The sequence below is a fragment of the Homo sapiens genome, chromosome 7, assembly GCF_000001405.40.
Source record: "Homo sapiens chromosome 7, GRCh38.p14 Primary Assembly".
Lineage (NCBI taxonomy): Eukaryota > Metazoa > Chordata > Mammalia > Primates > Hominidae > Homo > Homo sapiens.
Window position 1 is genome coordinate 99,393,610 of NC_000007.14, and position 15,026 is coordinate 99,408,635.

At 52.8% G+C, this 15,026-nt stretch overlaps 2 protein-coding genes across 3 annotated transcripts in view, besides 2 other annotated features; one reads left to right on the top strand and one right to left on the bottom strand.

Moving 5' to 3' along the window:
• The window catches only part of ARPC1B (actin related protein 2/3 complex subunit 1B), a 20,558-nt gene extending 19,351 nt beyond the window's left edge, over positions 1 to 1,207 (top strand). For both annotated transcript variants that reach the window (XM_024446628.2, NM_005720.4), the window contains exons 9-10: positions 420 to 510; positions 842 to 1,207. In XM_024446628.2, coding sequence (XP_024302396.1) covers positions 420 to 510; positions 842 to 880 — 130 coding nt within the window. In that variant the 3' untranslated portion in view covers positions 881 to 1,207. The remainder of the gene's footprint in view (positions 1 to 419; positions 511 to 841) is intronic.
• Positions 227 to 898: an enhancer, noted in NCBI's record as "H3K27ac-H3K4me1 hESC enhancer chr7:98991459-98992130 (GRCh37/hg19 assembly coordinates)". NCBI's record gives its function as "activates a minimal SCP1, AML or CMV promoter by ChIP-STARR-seq in naive H9 embryonic stem cells {active_cell/tissue: H9 hESC(naive)}" and the evidence as "EXISTENCE:reporter gene assay evidence [ECO:0000049][PMID:30033119]".
• PDAP1 (PDGFA associated protein 1) lies at positions 1,064 to 14,988 on the bottom strand. The gene is made up of 6 exons (NM_014891.7): positions 14,927 to 14,988; positions 11,253 to 11,344; positions 9,789 to 9,896; positions 6,694 to 6,815; positions 4,253 to 4,404; positions 1,064 to 3,131 (listed from the first exon to the last, which is right to left on the bottom strand). Exons 1-6 carry the CDS (start codon positions 14,937 to 14,939, stop codon positions 3,073 to 3,075), a joined length of 546 nt encoding a protein of 181 aa, NP_055706.1. The 5' UTR covers positions 14,940 to 14,988; the 3' UTR covers positions 1,064 to 3,072.
• Positions 14,757 to 14,816: a silencer, noted in NCBI's record as "silent region_18408". NCBI's record gives its function as "represses an Ori minimal core promoter by ATAC-STARR-seq in GM12878 lymphoblastoid cells {active_cell/tissue: GM12878}" and the evidence as "EXISTENCE:reporter gene assay evidence [ECO:0000049][PMID:35858748]".

Consider the following 15,026-nt stretch of genomic DNA (forward strand, 5'->3'; position numbering starts at 1 on the left):
GGAGCGGGAGCTGTATGGCAAGACTGGCCAAGCCCTTCGGTCTGTAAAACCTCCTGTGTCCGCCAGATCCGATGGCTTCCTCAGATGAAACACCTTTGTCCAGCTATCAGCTTAGTCCCTGGCTGCCCCCACCCCCATCTCCTTTTTTGTCCTGTCCAGCTGCACTGCTGGCACTGTGTACACTCCGCAGACACACGTGTCTTTCCTGCCTCCCAGGACTTGAGTGTCCTGTCCCATTTGCCTGCACCTCGCATGCCACTGTCCCCAAGGCAGAACTGACTTCTAAGCCCACTACACCCCCTCGGTACTTCTCACTAAAGCCCGCTCCCCAAGAAGTCTGGGAGCGCCTGGTGGACAGGGTGGGCCTGAGCCCAGCGCCAGCACAGGTTGAATTCATAAGCTCCTCTTCCTCTTTGCAGCCAGATCTCGGTGCTCAGCGGCGGCAAGGCCAAGTGCTCGCAGTTCTGCACCACTGGCATGGATGGCGGCATGAGTATCTGGGATGTGAAGGTGAGGCTTGCCCCTCCTGGCTTCCCGCCATGCCTCCCAGGTCAACCCTTTCCCCCCATCCCCACTCCCTGGAGATGACCCCCATCCTTCACTCCTGCAGAGATGGCACTGCATGGGGATGAGGGGTGGGGGCGGCCCCTTGACATCTGGGCCTTGGTGCTCACTGGGGCACCCGTCTTCAGGGCCGGGATTCCAACCCAGCTGACAGACTCCAAAACTGCAGGTTCTCTGCCCTCTGCTGTGCTGGGGCTGAGATGGGTGATCAGGTCCCTGGGAGTGGGGTGCCTGCAGGACAGCTGAGAACCAGCCTGTCCGTTCTGCCTCCCTGCAGAGCTTGGAGTCAGCCTTGAAGGACCTCAAGATCAAATGACCTGTGAGGAATATGTTGCCTTCATCCTAGCTGCTGGGGAAGCGGGGAGAGGGGTCAGGGAGGCTAATGGTTGCTTTGCTGAATGTTTCTGGGGTACCAATACGAGTTCCCATAGGGGCTGCTCCCTCAAAAAGGGAGGGGACAGATGGGGAGCTTTTCTTACCTATTCAAGGAATACGTGCCTTTTTCTTAAATGCTTTCATTTATTGAAAAAAAAAAAAAATGCCCCCAAAGCACTATGCTGGTCATGAACTGCTTCAAAATGTGGAGGTAATAAAATGCAACTGTGTAAAAAAAAAAAAAAAAAAAAAAGTAATTATGGACATGCTTGCCTATGTGGAAGGAGAGGTTTTTTGTTATTTCCTTGGGGTCTTGCTAAGTTTTCCAGGCTGCACTAGAACTCGTGGGAGCAATCCTTCTGCCTCAGCCTCCCAAGTAGCTGGGACTCCAGGGAGAGATTGGTGTTTGCACGGCCATAGGTAGATAGCTTATTTTTACTGCTTGCCAACAAAATTGATCCTGAAGCCCAACGGCCTTATGCCAAATGGTTCCCTCCCCACTGCTGTCCATCCTGGGCTGCCACTCCCAAAACTGCCAGTACCAGGTGTCACTGATTGACTAGTCAAATTCCTGGACAAAGGGGCTACACACTCCAGGCTGGTTGTGGAACTTTTGTTTTGAGATGGAGTTTTGCTCGTCACCCAGGCTGGAGTGCAGTTGTGCGTTCTCAGCTCACTGCCACCTCTGCCTTCCTGGGATCAAGCGATTCTCCTGCCTCAGCCTCCCAAGTAGCTGGGATTACAGGCATACACCACCAAGCCTGGTTAATTTTTGTATTTTTAGTAGAGACGGAGTTTCTCCATGTTGGCCAGGCTGGTCTTGAACTCCTGACCTCAGATGATCCACCCACCTCACCTCCCAAAGTGCTGGGATTACAGGCATGAGCCACCATGCCCGGCCTGGTTGTGGAACTTCACGGGAATTTATTTTGTCATTACAATGTTGGCAAGATATTTTTTTCGTGTGCTGTAAACTGAGGTTCTGTCTTGGAGTTTATGTCATGTCACCAGGTCCTGTGCTGAAGGGCATTTGCACATCTTTTGTGGCTTCTCTCAGGAAAATGTGGGCCTTGGCGACATCCAATGCTAGTGCTATTCCCCTTCTCCCCTAGAGTTACAGAATTATAACCACCAGGGGACACCTACAGGCCAGGCCAGGCCAGGATCCTGGTGCTGCTTCAGCCTACTGTGGCCTGGAAGGGTCCCTGCCTGCTGAGGCCTAAGATCCTGACTTGGCTAAAGGAGGGGAGGGGGCAGGCTGTGGTATCTAGGGTCCATCCCCGCATCCTGCTCGGTGCCACCTGACAGATGTCATGCCCCAGGTAGGTATGTGCCCTGAACCTTGCCGGGTGCACGTGCCTGAACGTGGCACCGTACCCAGCTGGGTAAAAACGGCTCGAGCACGGAAGCCAAAGGATGGATTGCCAAAACAAAGATTACGATAATGTCAAGTTTAATCTGCCAAATATACAAGTTGAATTTGTGGAGCATGTTTTGCCTGGGTGCCACACAGTAAACAGAGGTTTCTTGAAATGATCAATGGGTAGGGCTGAAAATGGGCACTGGCCCTAGCCAGGTGAGTAGGAACCGGGCAGGGAAGGGCAGAGAGGTGAGGCCCTGAGGTCAGTCAGACAGGACTGACCAGGGACAAGCCATGACCCTCGAGGACCCAGGGGCACAGGCTCCCAGATGATAGCCCCTCTCTGAATGAGCACCCAGGCAACACAGTCCGGGGCTGTGTGTAGCAAACCTGTCAGCAGCTGCCTCCTGGGACAACCACCCCCTTACATGCTATCTATCTACCAGACAAATGAAAGCTCTTCTTACCCCATCTCCCAGGCACCCCCCAGCAAGGGCTCTGAATTCTAAAAACAGCAAAAACATTCAAATGGTTACATATGAAATGCTGTCCTGCATCTTTCTGTCTCAAAGATAGCAGCTACCCCTCCCCCAGTCCCCCCCCCCATCCCCCAAACAATTTCTGTGCCAAGATGAAGAGGAGGCCCCAGGCCATGGGGGGCTCCTGGCCATGAGGGGCTGTTGCAGCGGCGCCAGGGCACAGGGTGGGCGAGACACAGCAGAGGTCCTGGCAGCGCGGCCCAGGTCCCCGGCATCTCCTCCCACGGGTCGCAGTTACTTATTCAGGGAGAGTGACTGCATTCGTTTTCCTGACAATGTGGCATCGTCTTTTGCTGAGGGGTGGGAGAAGGGCAGGGGTTAAAACAAAGCAACCCCCCACCCCCTCCCAACACACGTGCCAGAACCCTAGAACTTTAGGTCTGAAAGGCTGCAGAAAACATTCTGTGCAACAGAGAAGAGCCGAGGCGTGGGAGAGGATTTCTGCTGCAGCTGTAACCCCGGGCCCCCCGACATTCCCGACACGCTTCAGTGGCCAGACCACCTTATAGAAAGCTGTTCCTTCCACAAAGCCCCACCAACACACACTCTTGTGGGCAAACGGAAACTTCTCACCCCACCTCCCAGCAGAACCCTGTAATTCTAACCTCCCTCCACGGGTTCTGAAGTCTAAAATTTAAACATTCCAACAGTTACATGTGAAGTCCTTTCCTGCTTGGGGTTTGTGAAGCAGGGTTGAATGGGAAGTTGGGATCACTGGATTTCTGGTGCGGGTGACAATGTCCCTGAGCAATTGGTTTCCCCTTTCCAGGCCTGCTTCCTCATGGTCTGGTGAGGAGGCAGGACAGATGGACATGTAGGGGCTCTCACAGACCCCCGGGAGATGGAATGTTGCAAGTTGAATGCTCCTATAAACTGGACCAACTCCCATAGCCACTCTGGCCTAGAGGAACCTCCACCATCTCTGGCCTGCCTGGAGGGGAGAGCACAGGAAAAGGGATGCCTGGGCTGGATGTCAAGCCAGTCTGCACTGCTGTGTATCCAGCTCACCCTCCCAAGCCCTGCAGATGGACAGCGGTGACCTCAGGCATCTCTCCTGGGTTCCCAAGGCACCAGAGACCTTAGTGGGACCTGTGAGCCTCAGGCAAGGTCTGTACTAGGGGCATGGTTTCCTGTGACCTCCCGCTGTTGGGAGCAGGAGTGACTGTCCACCTACTGTGGACGGTGCTCTGCTGAGACTTCAACCTACATCCGACCCCATGATGTCGCTGGACCCTCCTGGTCCCCGAGGGAGTGGCAGGCACAGGGAGGGTGGCCCTCTCCTGAACGACCTCCTAGGCAGCAGTCACTCCTCACCTCATTGTCACCTCGCGGACAGGGACACGAGTTCAGTGCTTTGTGGCTGGCCCAGGACCAGAGTTGGGGCCTGTCCCTGCGTGCGCAGCCCAGCCCTTACCTTTCCTTTCCTCTTCCTTCTTCCGGGCAGCCTCCTCCCGCTGTTTCCGGATGATGGCCAGCCGGGCCAGGTCAGCCTTGGCTTGCTCTGTCTTCCCGGCCAAGTGCATTTTCATGTAACGCTCTTTTGCCTTCTGCTTCTCAATCTCTTCTCTGTGTGGATAAAATGGTGTCATGGGGACATCTTTCCTACCACTGTTTGCCAAACTGGACGGGAGTCAGAATAAAGGCCAAGGATTCGGCCTAGGGCCGAGGTGGAAGGGGTGCCCTGGCTGTGAGTCCCTGCCTCCATGAACCCCCTGCTTGGTGGACGTTCACCAAGCAAGTGAGCAGGAGGGAGAGGCCCAGGGAGAAAACATCTGCGATGTCCAGAAAGCCTCAGAGGGAAAGGGGACAATGTCCAGCTACAGCAGGGAGGGGAAGATGCCTGAGGGCTTCATGATCAGGCTCTGGCGGCCATGGAGAGAAGGGGGACCAGGCCAAGAGTGTTCCAGAGAAGATGACCAGGAGGATGAAAGCAGTGGGGACCACATCCTACAAGGAAGGAAGGGCTGGGCATGGTGGCTCAGGCCTGTAATCCCAGCACTCTGGGAGGCCAAGACAAGAGGATCACTTGAGGCTGTAAGTTTGAGACCTGCCTGGGCAATATAGCAAGACTCTGTACAAAATAGAAAATTTAAAAATTAGCCAGGTGTGGTGGCACACATGGCTAAGGCAGCATGGCTCCCAGCTACATGGGAGGCTGAGGCAGGCGGATTGCTTGAGCCCAGAAGTTCAAGGCTGCAGTGAGCTACAATTGCACCACTGCACTCCAGCCTGGGTGACAGAGTGAAATCCTATCTCTAAAAAATACAAACAAAAAAAGGAATGAAGAAGTGGAGGAAGCAGCCACAGGGCATAGGATGAGGACCACAGTGGGAAACAGACACACCCAGTCTCAGGTCAACACCACATGGCCCATTCTTAGAGCAGCTCAGATGTGCACGGTGCTGCCCCCCAAGGGGACAGCCCCCATCAGTAGGGAGATGGGAATAATTGCTGGGCTCCCATGGGACAAAGTGTCAGGAATGAACCCCCTAAGTAGAGTCAGTGGTGAGGGTCATTAGCTTCCTTTTGAGGATCTTCCCAAGCTTGAGATTCTGAACTGGAGTGGATGCCCTTCAGGATGAGATCGGAGGGCCTATTTGCACTGGGTTCCTGGAAGAGCCAAGTGCTGGAGGAGGGGAGGGCCCTGCCTGGCAGGAGGCTGGGAGAGAGACTCGGCCTCCCAGAGGCCTTCAAGGTACACAGAACTGGGGAGTAATGAGAAACCAGGCATGGGAGCTAGCTAGAGGGGAGGGAGAGGGACTCCCGAGTGGGAAGAGCAGATGCCTCACTACAGAGCTGAGGAGATAATACCTGGCGAACCGCAGATCCTAGCTCAGGAGGGATGTGCCACACTCAGAAGCCTCTAAGCTGAGCCTCAGGAATGATGACTAAGGCAGCCCAAAGACTCTGCAGGGCCCTTCAGTGAAAGCAAAATGCCAGGCAGGGTGTCTCTGCAACCCCAAAGGACAGAAGGAGGGAGCAACAGGATCCCTTTTACTGGAGAGGACACTGATGCCCAGAAAGGCACAGCCTTATCGAAGGCTGCACAGCTGCCAATGGCAGAATACCACAGTGGCAGAACACCCAGGTTGCTGGGTTTTTGAAGTCAATGCCAAGAGGAAGCTACTGAAGGGGGACAGAAGGGTCCTTAGCAGCTGCAATCACACCCAAGCTCATGGCCTTCCCCACGAGGCTTTCACAGACACACCCCTCAGCCATTATCCTAAATTCCCAGTCAGGAGAGAAACTAGCAGGCTTCAACCTCTTGTAAGGCCCTTGAGGTCACCTGGTGGCTGCCAAAAGTCAGGGCACCAGTCAAGGACTGATCCTGTGCCAGGCACTTCAGTACATGATCTTGATCCTCATACGACTCTTGAGGAAGATATTTACAGCTTCATTTTCACACAGGACTTGCAGAGGCCTGGGACAGCTGGCTGAGCTGCGCTGGGCTGGACTGCCTTCTGGCCGGCACAGGCTCGCAGCCCCCTTCCAGTCCCCATGGCCACGACATTACAGATGGATGCAGGTCAGGAATGGTCAGATCAGTGGGGTAAGGGAAGTCTCCCCAGGGTGTGGTGCTCTGGAAGAGGGGAATGGAGGGCAACCCTCTGTATCCTGCACCATTACCTCAAGTGTTATGCTCAGGTCTGAGCCTGTTGTCCTATTTCCCCTGATATCATGTATCAATTGGTGAAAACAAATTCTGTGTGGCTTTTTAAAGGCTACTGGAGGGCCATTGGGGAATGAGACAGAAATAAACAGCCACAGCTCCCAGCCAGCTGGGGACCTTAGCATCCCACAGGCCAACTGCTGGCCTGTATTCCCCGTGACACAAGGCCCAGCCAGTGATGTTACCGTTCTCTCCTCGAAAGCTCCTTTGGCCCGTCCAGATCCAGTTGTGTGACCTTTTTGGTTGTCTGTGCCACCCGGTTGGGGTTCTCGATGTCGATGAGCCCTTCAACGCCTTTGCGCTTTTGCTAGAACAGGGCAAGAAGCTGGTTGTTGGAGTTCAGGTCCTGTGGAGCCCCTGAGGGCCACTCCTGCCATCTCTCAACAGCCCATCTGGATGAGGACAAACTCCTGCTCCACCCCAGCCCACGTAGTGCTCAGCCCAAGTCTCACAGTGGGTATAGCTCTCTGGAGCATCTTCATCAGCCTGGGAAGAGCCCACAGAACGGCTGCTCGGGGTCGAATAACTTGCCCAAGTCAACCAGGAAGTAGGTGGTAGATGAGAGGTGCGCCCTACCCCGACTTGCAAGCACTCACACAGCACTACTCCCCTACTTCAAGCTCGGCTTCCAAAAGCAGTTTTCCATGGAATCCCATGCCTGATTCTTCTTGCAAAAAGCGCTGGGCTGGAATCCCCAGGGCAGGGTGGGCCAAGTGTGTGCTGTCATGACTAATTCCAATTCCCACCCACCTTAGCTGATGGACTGGACTTGTAACCCAAGAATAAGCTACTGGATCACACACTCTACAGGTTTGGGACGCTGGCCCAAAAACCTGGAATCTGCACCTTCCACCTCCCCTGCAGAAGTTCCAGAAGAAGGGGGTGTGTTCTCAATGCAGCAGGTTTGGTCAAAGTTTCAGGCCCTGTCAATTCCATCAATTCTCCTTAAGGGGGCAGGGAGACAGCTTCCACTCCACAGAGCTCCCTCCACACACTTCCAGTCCAGCTGCACACTTACACCTCCACTCAGATGCCTGGCACTGTAAACTTAACATGTCCAAGACAGAACTCGAGATTCATCCTTTACCCAACCGGACCCTCCCTGCAATCCTAAGCATATCCTTGATTCGTCGTTCCTTCAGCAACCCCCAAATACAGCTTAAATTTGTCCACTCTTCTCCACTGCCATTGTCACCATCCTAGGGCAAGCCACGATTTTTTTTCTTTTGAGACAGAGTTTCCCTCTTCTTGCCCAGGCTGGAGGGCAATGGCACAATCTCGGCTCACCACAACCTCGGTCTCCTGGGTTCAAGCAATTCTCCTGCCTCAGCCTGAGTATTTGGGATTACAGGCATGAACCACCACCCCCGACTAATTTTGTATTTTTAGTAGAGACAGGTTTTCTCCATGTTGGTCAGGCTGGTCTCGAAATCTCGACCTCAGGTGATCCGCCCGCCTTGGCCTCCCAAAGTGCTGGGATTACAGGTGTGAGCCACCACACCCGGCCCAGGATTTCTGATCTGAACACTGCTCTTACTCTCAACATCCTATCATTCACTCTCCATGAAGAAGCTAAAATAATCTTTTTTTTTTTTTTTTGAGACGGAGTCTCACTCTGTCGCCCAGGCTGGAGTGCAGTGGCATAGTCTTGGCTCACTGCACTCCGCCTCCCGGGTTCACGCCATTCTCCTGCCTCAGCCTCCCAAGTAGCTGGGACTACAGGCGCCTGCCACCACACCTGGCTAATTTTTGTATTTTTAGTAGAGACGGGGTTTCACTGTGTTAGCCAGGATGGTCTCGATCTCCTGACCTTGTGATCCACCCACCTTGGCTTCCCAAAGTAAAATAATCTTTTAAAAGCATATCTGGAGGCTGGGCGCAGTGGCTCACGCCTGTAATCCCAGCCCTTTGAGAGGCCAAGGCAGGCAGATCACGAGGTCAGGAGATTGAGACCATCCTGGCTGACATGGTGAAACGCTACCTCTACGGTAGTCCCAGCTATTCGGAAGGCTGAGGCAGAAGAATGGCCTGAACCCGGGAGGCGGAGCTTGCAGTGAGCCGAGATCGCACCACTGCACTCCAGCCTGGGCGACAGAGAGACTCCATCTCCCAAAAAAAAAAAAAAAAAAAAGCATATCTGGTCATGTCTCTCAATCCCTTCAAGGCCTCCCCCAGCTGCCACTACCTACCATAAAGAAACCCCATGCCAGGCATGGTGGCTCATGCTGCTGCAATCTCAACACCTCAGGAGGGTGAAGTGGGAGGATTACTTGAGCCCAGGAGTTGGAGACCACCTGGGCAATATAGTGAGATCCCTATCTCTACAAAAAATTTAAAAATTAGGTAGATGTGGTGGCGTGTGCCTTTGGTCCCAGCTACTTGGAAGGCTGAGGCTGCGGTGCTTCACTGCAGCTTCACTCCACTCCAGCCTGGGTGACAGAACGAGACCCTGTCTCAAAAAAAAAAAAAAAAAAAAAAAAAGGGGGCTGGGCTAGTGGCTCACGCTTATAATCCCAGTACTTTGGGAGGCTGATGCGGGTGGATCACGAGGTCAGGAGATGGAGACCATTCTGGCTAACACAGTGAAACCCTGTCTCTACTAAAAATACAAAAAATTAGCCCGGCGTGGTGGCAGGCGCCTGTAGTCCCAGCTACTCAGGAGGCTGGGGCAGAAGCGCTTGAACCTGGGAGGCGGAAGTTGCAGTGAGCTGAGATCGTGCCACTGCACTCCAGCCTCAGTGACAAAGCGACACTTCATCTCAAAAAAAAAAAAAAAAAAGAAAAGAAAAGAAAAGAAATGCCAACCCCTTCAACAGCTACACAGGAGGTGCCCTTGCCAATTCTCCTCCTGCATCTGGACCACTCCGCTCCTTACCCACTAACTCACAGCTACACTGGCCCCCTTCTGGTCCTTGAACATGCCAAGCTTATTCCCACCACAGGACCTTTGCACTTGCTAATCCAGTTTCTCAATTGCTCTGCACGCCAATTTTCACATAGCTGGCTGCATCTTGTTTTTTCAGATCTCAGTTTATAAGTTGCTTCACCACCACAACACTTTTCCAAGTCCCCTCAATCACAGTCTGTTTTGTTAGTAACACTTCTCATTACTTGAAATGACACTGTCTGTTTACTTCTTTGTTGTATCTCCCGTAGTGTAAACCCTCAAGAGCAAGGACGTTGTCTGCATCTACCTTTGGGACTAGTACTAAACGGTCACTCAACGTTTGTTTGTTGAATGAATGAGTCCAGGCTCTAGGCCCTCAAAAGAACTCAGTACCTGGTAGTCATCTTCTTCATCCTCACTCTCATCTGAGTCTAGAGATTTCTTCTCCTTTTTGGGGTCACCTGCAGCCCCATCTCCACCTTCTTTTTGCTCCTCTTCTTCCTGTTTCAGAAATGGACAACCTGCAGAATCAAAAATGCAAAACAAATCCCCAAGACTGTGACCCTATCACCCCCCAGACTGTGGATCTTGAGAAATCAAGCCTCTGGAAGGCTGGAACCAAGGATGACAAGGGTCCTACTGTGACCCTGGCCCCCAGGGAATGGGACCTGGGCCAGACACAGGCAGCCTATGCACTTAGCACCACAGCTTAGAGGCCATTCCCATAGTCCAGGAAGCCCCTCACACAGCCACAGAAGGCCCTGCTCCCCTTCCTAACGCAGCCACCTCAGCAGCCAGGGTGAGAAGCTTGTTTCCTGGGGTCAGAAGGACTCAGCCACCAGGCTGAAAACCACCATCCTACTCAGCTCCCACCTGCCACATGCAGCTGCCAAATCATGCTGGCATTCCCAGGCGAGTCCTCTCCGCACTCCACTCCCACTCCATGGCAAGTCATCCCCCCGACCCACCCACACAGGTGACCTCCTGCACCAGCTCCCCAGAACAACACCTCGGAAGGCTGCTTCCCTCCACCTTTCTTGCCTTCCCACCAAAAATGTCCCTTATAGGAACCTCATGTCCCTTCACCTCTTGGCACCTGCCCACACATTCTCCATGTCCTGCTCAGCTGCTGGCTCCCCCAAGGACCCCTCCCAGACCCCACAGCTGGATGTGGCCTTTCCCTTCTTGAGACTCCTGGGGTACGTCACAGCTGTGTACCCATCTGGCCCTGACTGCTCCCTTAGGCCCTTGATCCAGGCATCAATCTAATGATATGGTAAGATGCAGATGCTGACGATGGGAATGTATTCTATTTCCTAACGGTGGCCTGGACAATGTACTATGGGAGCAGAGGAGAGGGAACTACTAAATCAGCTCTGGCTGGAGGTGAGGCATGAGTCACAGAGGAGGAGAGGCTAAACAACGTCTCCAGGGATGGAGAGCATGCTGATGCTGGGGGTGTGGGAAGGCAGGGCATATGTCATGTGCAGTGTGGCAAATCATCCTGTGTGGCTGCAGCAGACAAGCAGGGGTGCTGGGAGCTCGAGCTGTGAATGGACAGGTCCTGCAGGAGGGAGATCCTCCTGAAAGTAGGTGCACAAGACCAAGAACAGGGCCCCACTAAAGCAGCTGCTGCAGAGCAGCCACAGTTCTTTCTAACCCATCCAGGCAGAGGATGCCCACGCCCTGACTGTCATTGGTTGTTCTGAGACTCACACCTGGGGCTCACTGCCCGCCCGACCCCCACGTGCTGGCTTGTCCCTGCGAATGGGTAGTCCTTGCCTGGCCTCTCTATGAACCAAATTGGCAAAGCGCCACCCTGGGCCACTGGCGTGGCCTGGACAGGCACGTACTCACCCTGGCCTTCTGCTTCTCAGCCTGCAGCTGCGCGTCGATCTCCTCAGGGCTTGTATACTGCCTCGCCCGGCCTTTGTGGCCTCCCTTTCTTCCTGCAGAGACCCGCAGTTTAGGTGAGCGGAAGCAGCTGCCTTGACTGCTCTGACCCCCAGAGGGCTGTGTCCTGCTTGGAGTACTCTCATCGGAGGCCTCACCTACCCCTCACCCAGCACCACCCAAACCGACACCTCCGCCACCCTCATGTGTTCAAAGGCACGCAGGAAGCAACTCGTGACCATCTGATGCATCACCAAACTGTGTACTAAATGCTGGCTCCTACACAGAAGACCGGAGGGGAGAACATGGCGGACGGTGCACTGCAATGACTTGCTACATCCCCTGGTCCCTTACAATCCAAGCATAGTGGACTCAGATGCAACCACAGAAACATGTACCACTTACATCCCTGCCGTCACTATAAGGGCTTTTTACACGATGTTCTGTCACAGCCAGGGGCACTTTTTTTTTTTTTTTTTTGAGACGGAGTCTCGCTCTGTCACCCAAGCTGGAGTGCAGTGGCGCAATCTCGGCTCACCGCAACCTCCACCACCCTGGTTGAAGTGATTCTCCTGCCTCAGCCTCCCGAGTAGCTGGGACTACAGGCGTGCACCACTATGCCCAGCTTATTTATTTATTTTTAGTAGAGATGGGGTTTAACCATGTTGGTTGGCTAGAATGGTCTTGATCTCTTGACCTCGTGATCTGCCCACCTCAGCCTCCCAAAGTGCTGGGATTACAGGTGTGAGCCACCGCGCCCAGCCAGCCAGGGGCACAGTTGATCCTCGGAACAAACCTATGGTACAGGGGTGATAGCTGGTCCCATTTCATAGACCAGGAGACTTAGACCAAAGCAGACTGCGAAACACCACGAAGTTTAGAGTCCAACTCCCAGGTTCTACGCTTACTGGCTTGATGACTTTGGGCAGGTATTTAACCTCTCAGTCTCAGTTTCCTCATCTGTGTCCCTACCTTACAGGGTTGTCACAAAGATAGATGAATTAATCAATATACAGAAAGCTGCTGGAACAGTGCCTGCTACTGAATAAGCACTACAAAAATGTTCGCTAATATCCAGGCACAGTGGCTGATGCCTGTAATCCCAGCACTTTGGGAGGCCAAGGCGGGCAGATCACTTGAGGCCAGTTCAAGACCAGCCTGGTCAACATGGTGAAACCCCCTCACTACTAAAAATACAAAAATTAGCTGGGCATGGTGTCACATGTTTGTAATCCCAGCTACTTGGGAGGCTGAGAAAGGAGAATCGCTTGAACCCAGGAGGCAGAGGTTGCAGTAGCCGAGATTGAGCCACTGCACTCCAGCCTGGGCCACAGAGCGAGACTCCGTCTCAAAAAAATAAAAAAATCGCTGTTCGTTACTTTTCCCTCTAATCTAGTATTTGGTGGAAAAACAACAACAAAAGCACCACTGAGCACATAAGCAATTTACTGCAGATGTTGGAAACACAATAAAATACCTTGTGTTCACCTTAGTAGTATGGCAAAAAGAGAATACTTAAGGGAAAAAAAAGAAACCCAAACCTACAGGCAAAAACTTTGTGCTTAGACTAAGAAATGACTGGCAAAGTACAGATGAAAACAAACCTGACTACACAGTCTAAAAGTTAAAAATGTGACTAGCAGTTAAAGTGTCAGTTTTATAGTCTGACCCTCTTCAGCCAGAACACCAGGCTGACCCTTGCTTAAGCCATCAGCCAGTTTTAAAGCAAGGTGGCATCCCCCTCTGCTGGTCCCCAAGTATGCAAGGGTGGCTGTGGCCTCAACTTCCACACAGGAAGCTGAGGCCCACCTGATTTCCATAGTCTGTCTCTGTGAGCAGAGACTCTGTAATCAGCCAGAGTTGCTCTGCACTCCAGAGGCGGTAGCAGAGATACTGGCCTCCTCTGATTCCTTACAGCAGCTGCAAAGCCATAATTGGGCTGCTAAAGATCACACCACCCATTTTTAATGACTACCTAGGTTCCCAGGGGTGTCTAAGTCTATGCTTATTAAAGTCCTATTGTGAGAGAGCAAGTGTGCCAAGAAAAAAACCAACACCCTTTCTTGCTCTCTTAATACACCAGGCAACAGTAACAACTCAAAATTGATTACTATAGGCTCTCCTCTCATGCACTTGGCTATGGGACCCTGACCTTAGCTTGGTCCACAGTAATTTTATAGTAGACTCTTCAAGACTTTAAAAAACGATTTGCACTTAACATAATGGAAACAAGCGTTGGTCCTTTGCTCTTAGGGAGTTTGATACTTTTAACACCTTCACGGTTTTTTGTGGTTTTCAGATTAACCCAAGAAAATGTAAACCTTGTCTACCCCAAAAAGCTTTTCACAAGCCCAAAGACCATTTAGCTATGAATTCATATTTAAGGTTTTATCGTTGTAACCTCCAACCTTTACCCAAAGTATCCATTAAGTAAAACTTCGGAGGGAGGATGGCTCATTCAGCAACCTCCTTTTACAGATGAAGGGACTGGGGAACAATAGCAGAGAGACTTTTCCAGCCACAGAATAAATCAGTAGAGAGCTAGGTTTAAACACATTTAGCTCTGTAATGCCCAATTATCTCTGGAGTCAGGAAGCGATTTAGGTTTGAAAACGCTACAGGCAGATGTTTCTGTGGGTTGAGTGCATTAACCAATATAACACATGAGCTACCAACACAAATATATTTGTTCTGTGCCAGGAGGTGGCCAGGCACTTTATGAGCGCTATAATTTTACCACCCCGGCCCCAATTCAACAAGCTAAGGATTAGCCCAGTGTTTCAGATGAGGAAGAGGTTAACTTGTTCAGGGCCACAGAATTAGACGTGACATAGCTGGGATTCAAACTGGGGACTATCGATTCTAAAGGGGGAAACAGGATAGAGAACGGGCTAGAAGATAGAGGACGGGCTACAATGGACTGGGCAGTCATGAACCTACTTACAAGATCAAGAGCTGGCAAAGCCTTAAAAATAAGAATAGTTACTGCTTCACTGGGCACTTTTAACGACTGCCTGGCACTGTACTGCGCACTCCACGTGGATTACCTAGTTGAAGCCTCCCAACAGTACTAAGAGGTAGGTACAATCGTTATTCCCATTGGCAAATGAGAAAACGGAGACACAGGAGGTGGAGCGACTGGCTCAAAGGAACACACCGAGCCGCTACCGAACGGGGGAGTCGAAACCAGGTCTGGAAGGCTCATGGGCATCTCCTTAAGTCCTCCTAGGCAGGCCTGGCTGAACCGAAGCCAGAAAAAGCCCACGTTTTACGCGAGAGGCAGGCGGGCCCGGCACAAGCGCGGGACGCGGTGACTCAGTTCCTAGCCAGCCAAAGAGTGGGATAAATTCCAGAACCCCTAGACCCGGAGAAGCGCATCCTAGATCCGGCTTTCTAGGCCGGCGAGGACCCAGAGCTTCCGAAACTCCTCAGACCACTGACGGAGTGACTCTGGGACACCACAGTCCTCAGTTTCCCCATCGGGACAATTGGGCGTCGAGGCCCAGGCCTGGCTCTCAGCCGGTGCGGACAGCCTCCCTCTGCGCTGCTCTCAGAGACGCGCACGGGCTGAGGGGACAGCGGAAGCCGGACCTGGGCCGCCCCTCCAGGCCTGCGGGCCACCGGCGCCCGCCCCTCACCTCCTTTAGGCATTGCGGCTCCGGCGGCTGCGGCGGCGGCGGCGGCGCCTCGAACTGACACCGGAACCGGAAATAGCTTGGGCTCGACTTCTTCCTCCTG

Excerpts from the sequence above, each read along its gene's own strand:
- PDAP1 (NM_014891.7), bottom strand. Across the intron at positions 9,897-11,252 it reads CTGAGAAGCAGAAGGCCAGG|GAAGAAGAGGAGCAAAAAGA; the intron begins GTGAGTACGTGC and ends TTTCTGAAACAG. Across the intron at positions 3,132-4,252 it reads GAAGGAAGAGGAAAGGAAAG|CAAAAGACGATGCCACATTG; the intron begins GTAAGGGCTGGG and ends CCCACCCCTCAG.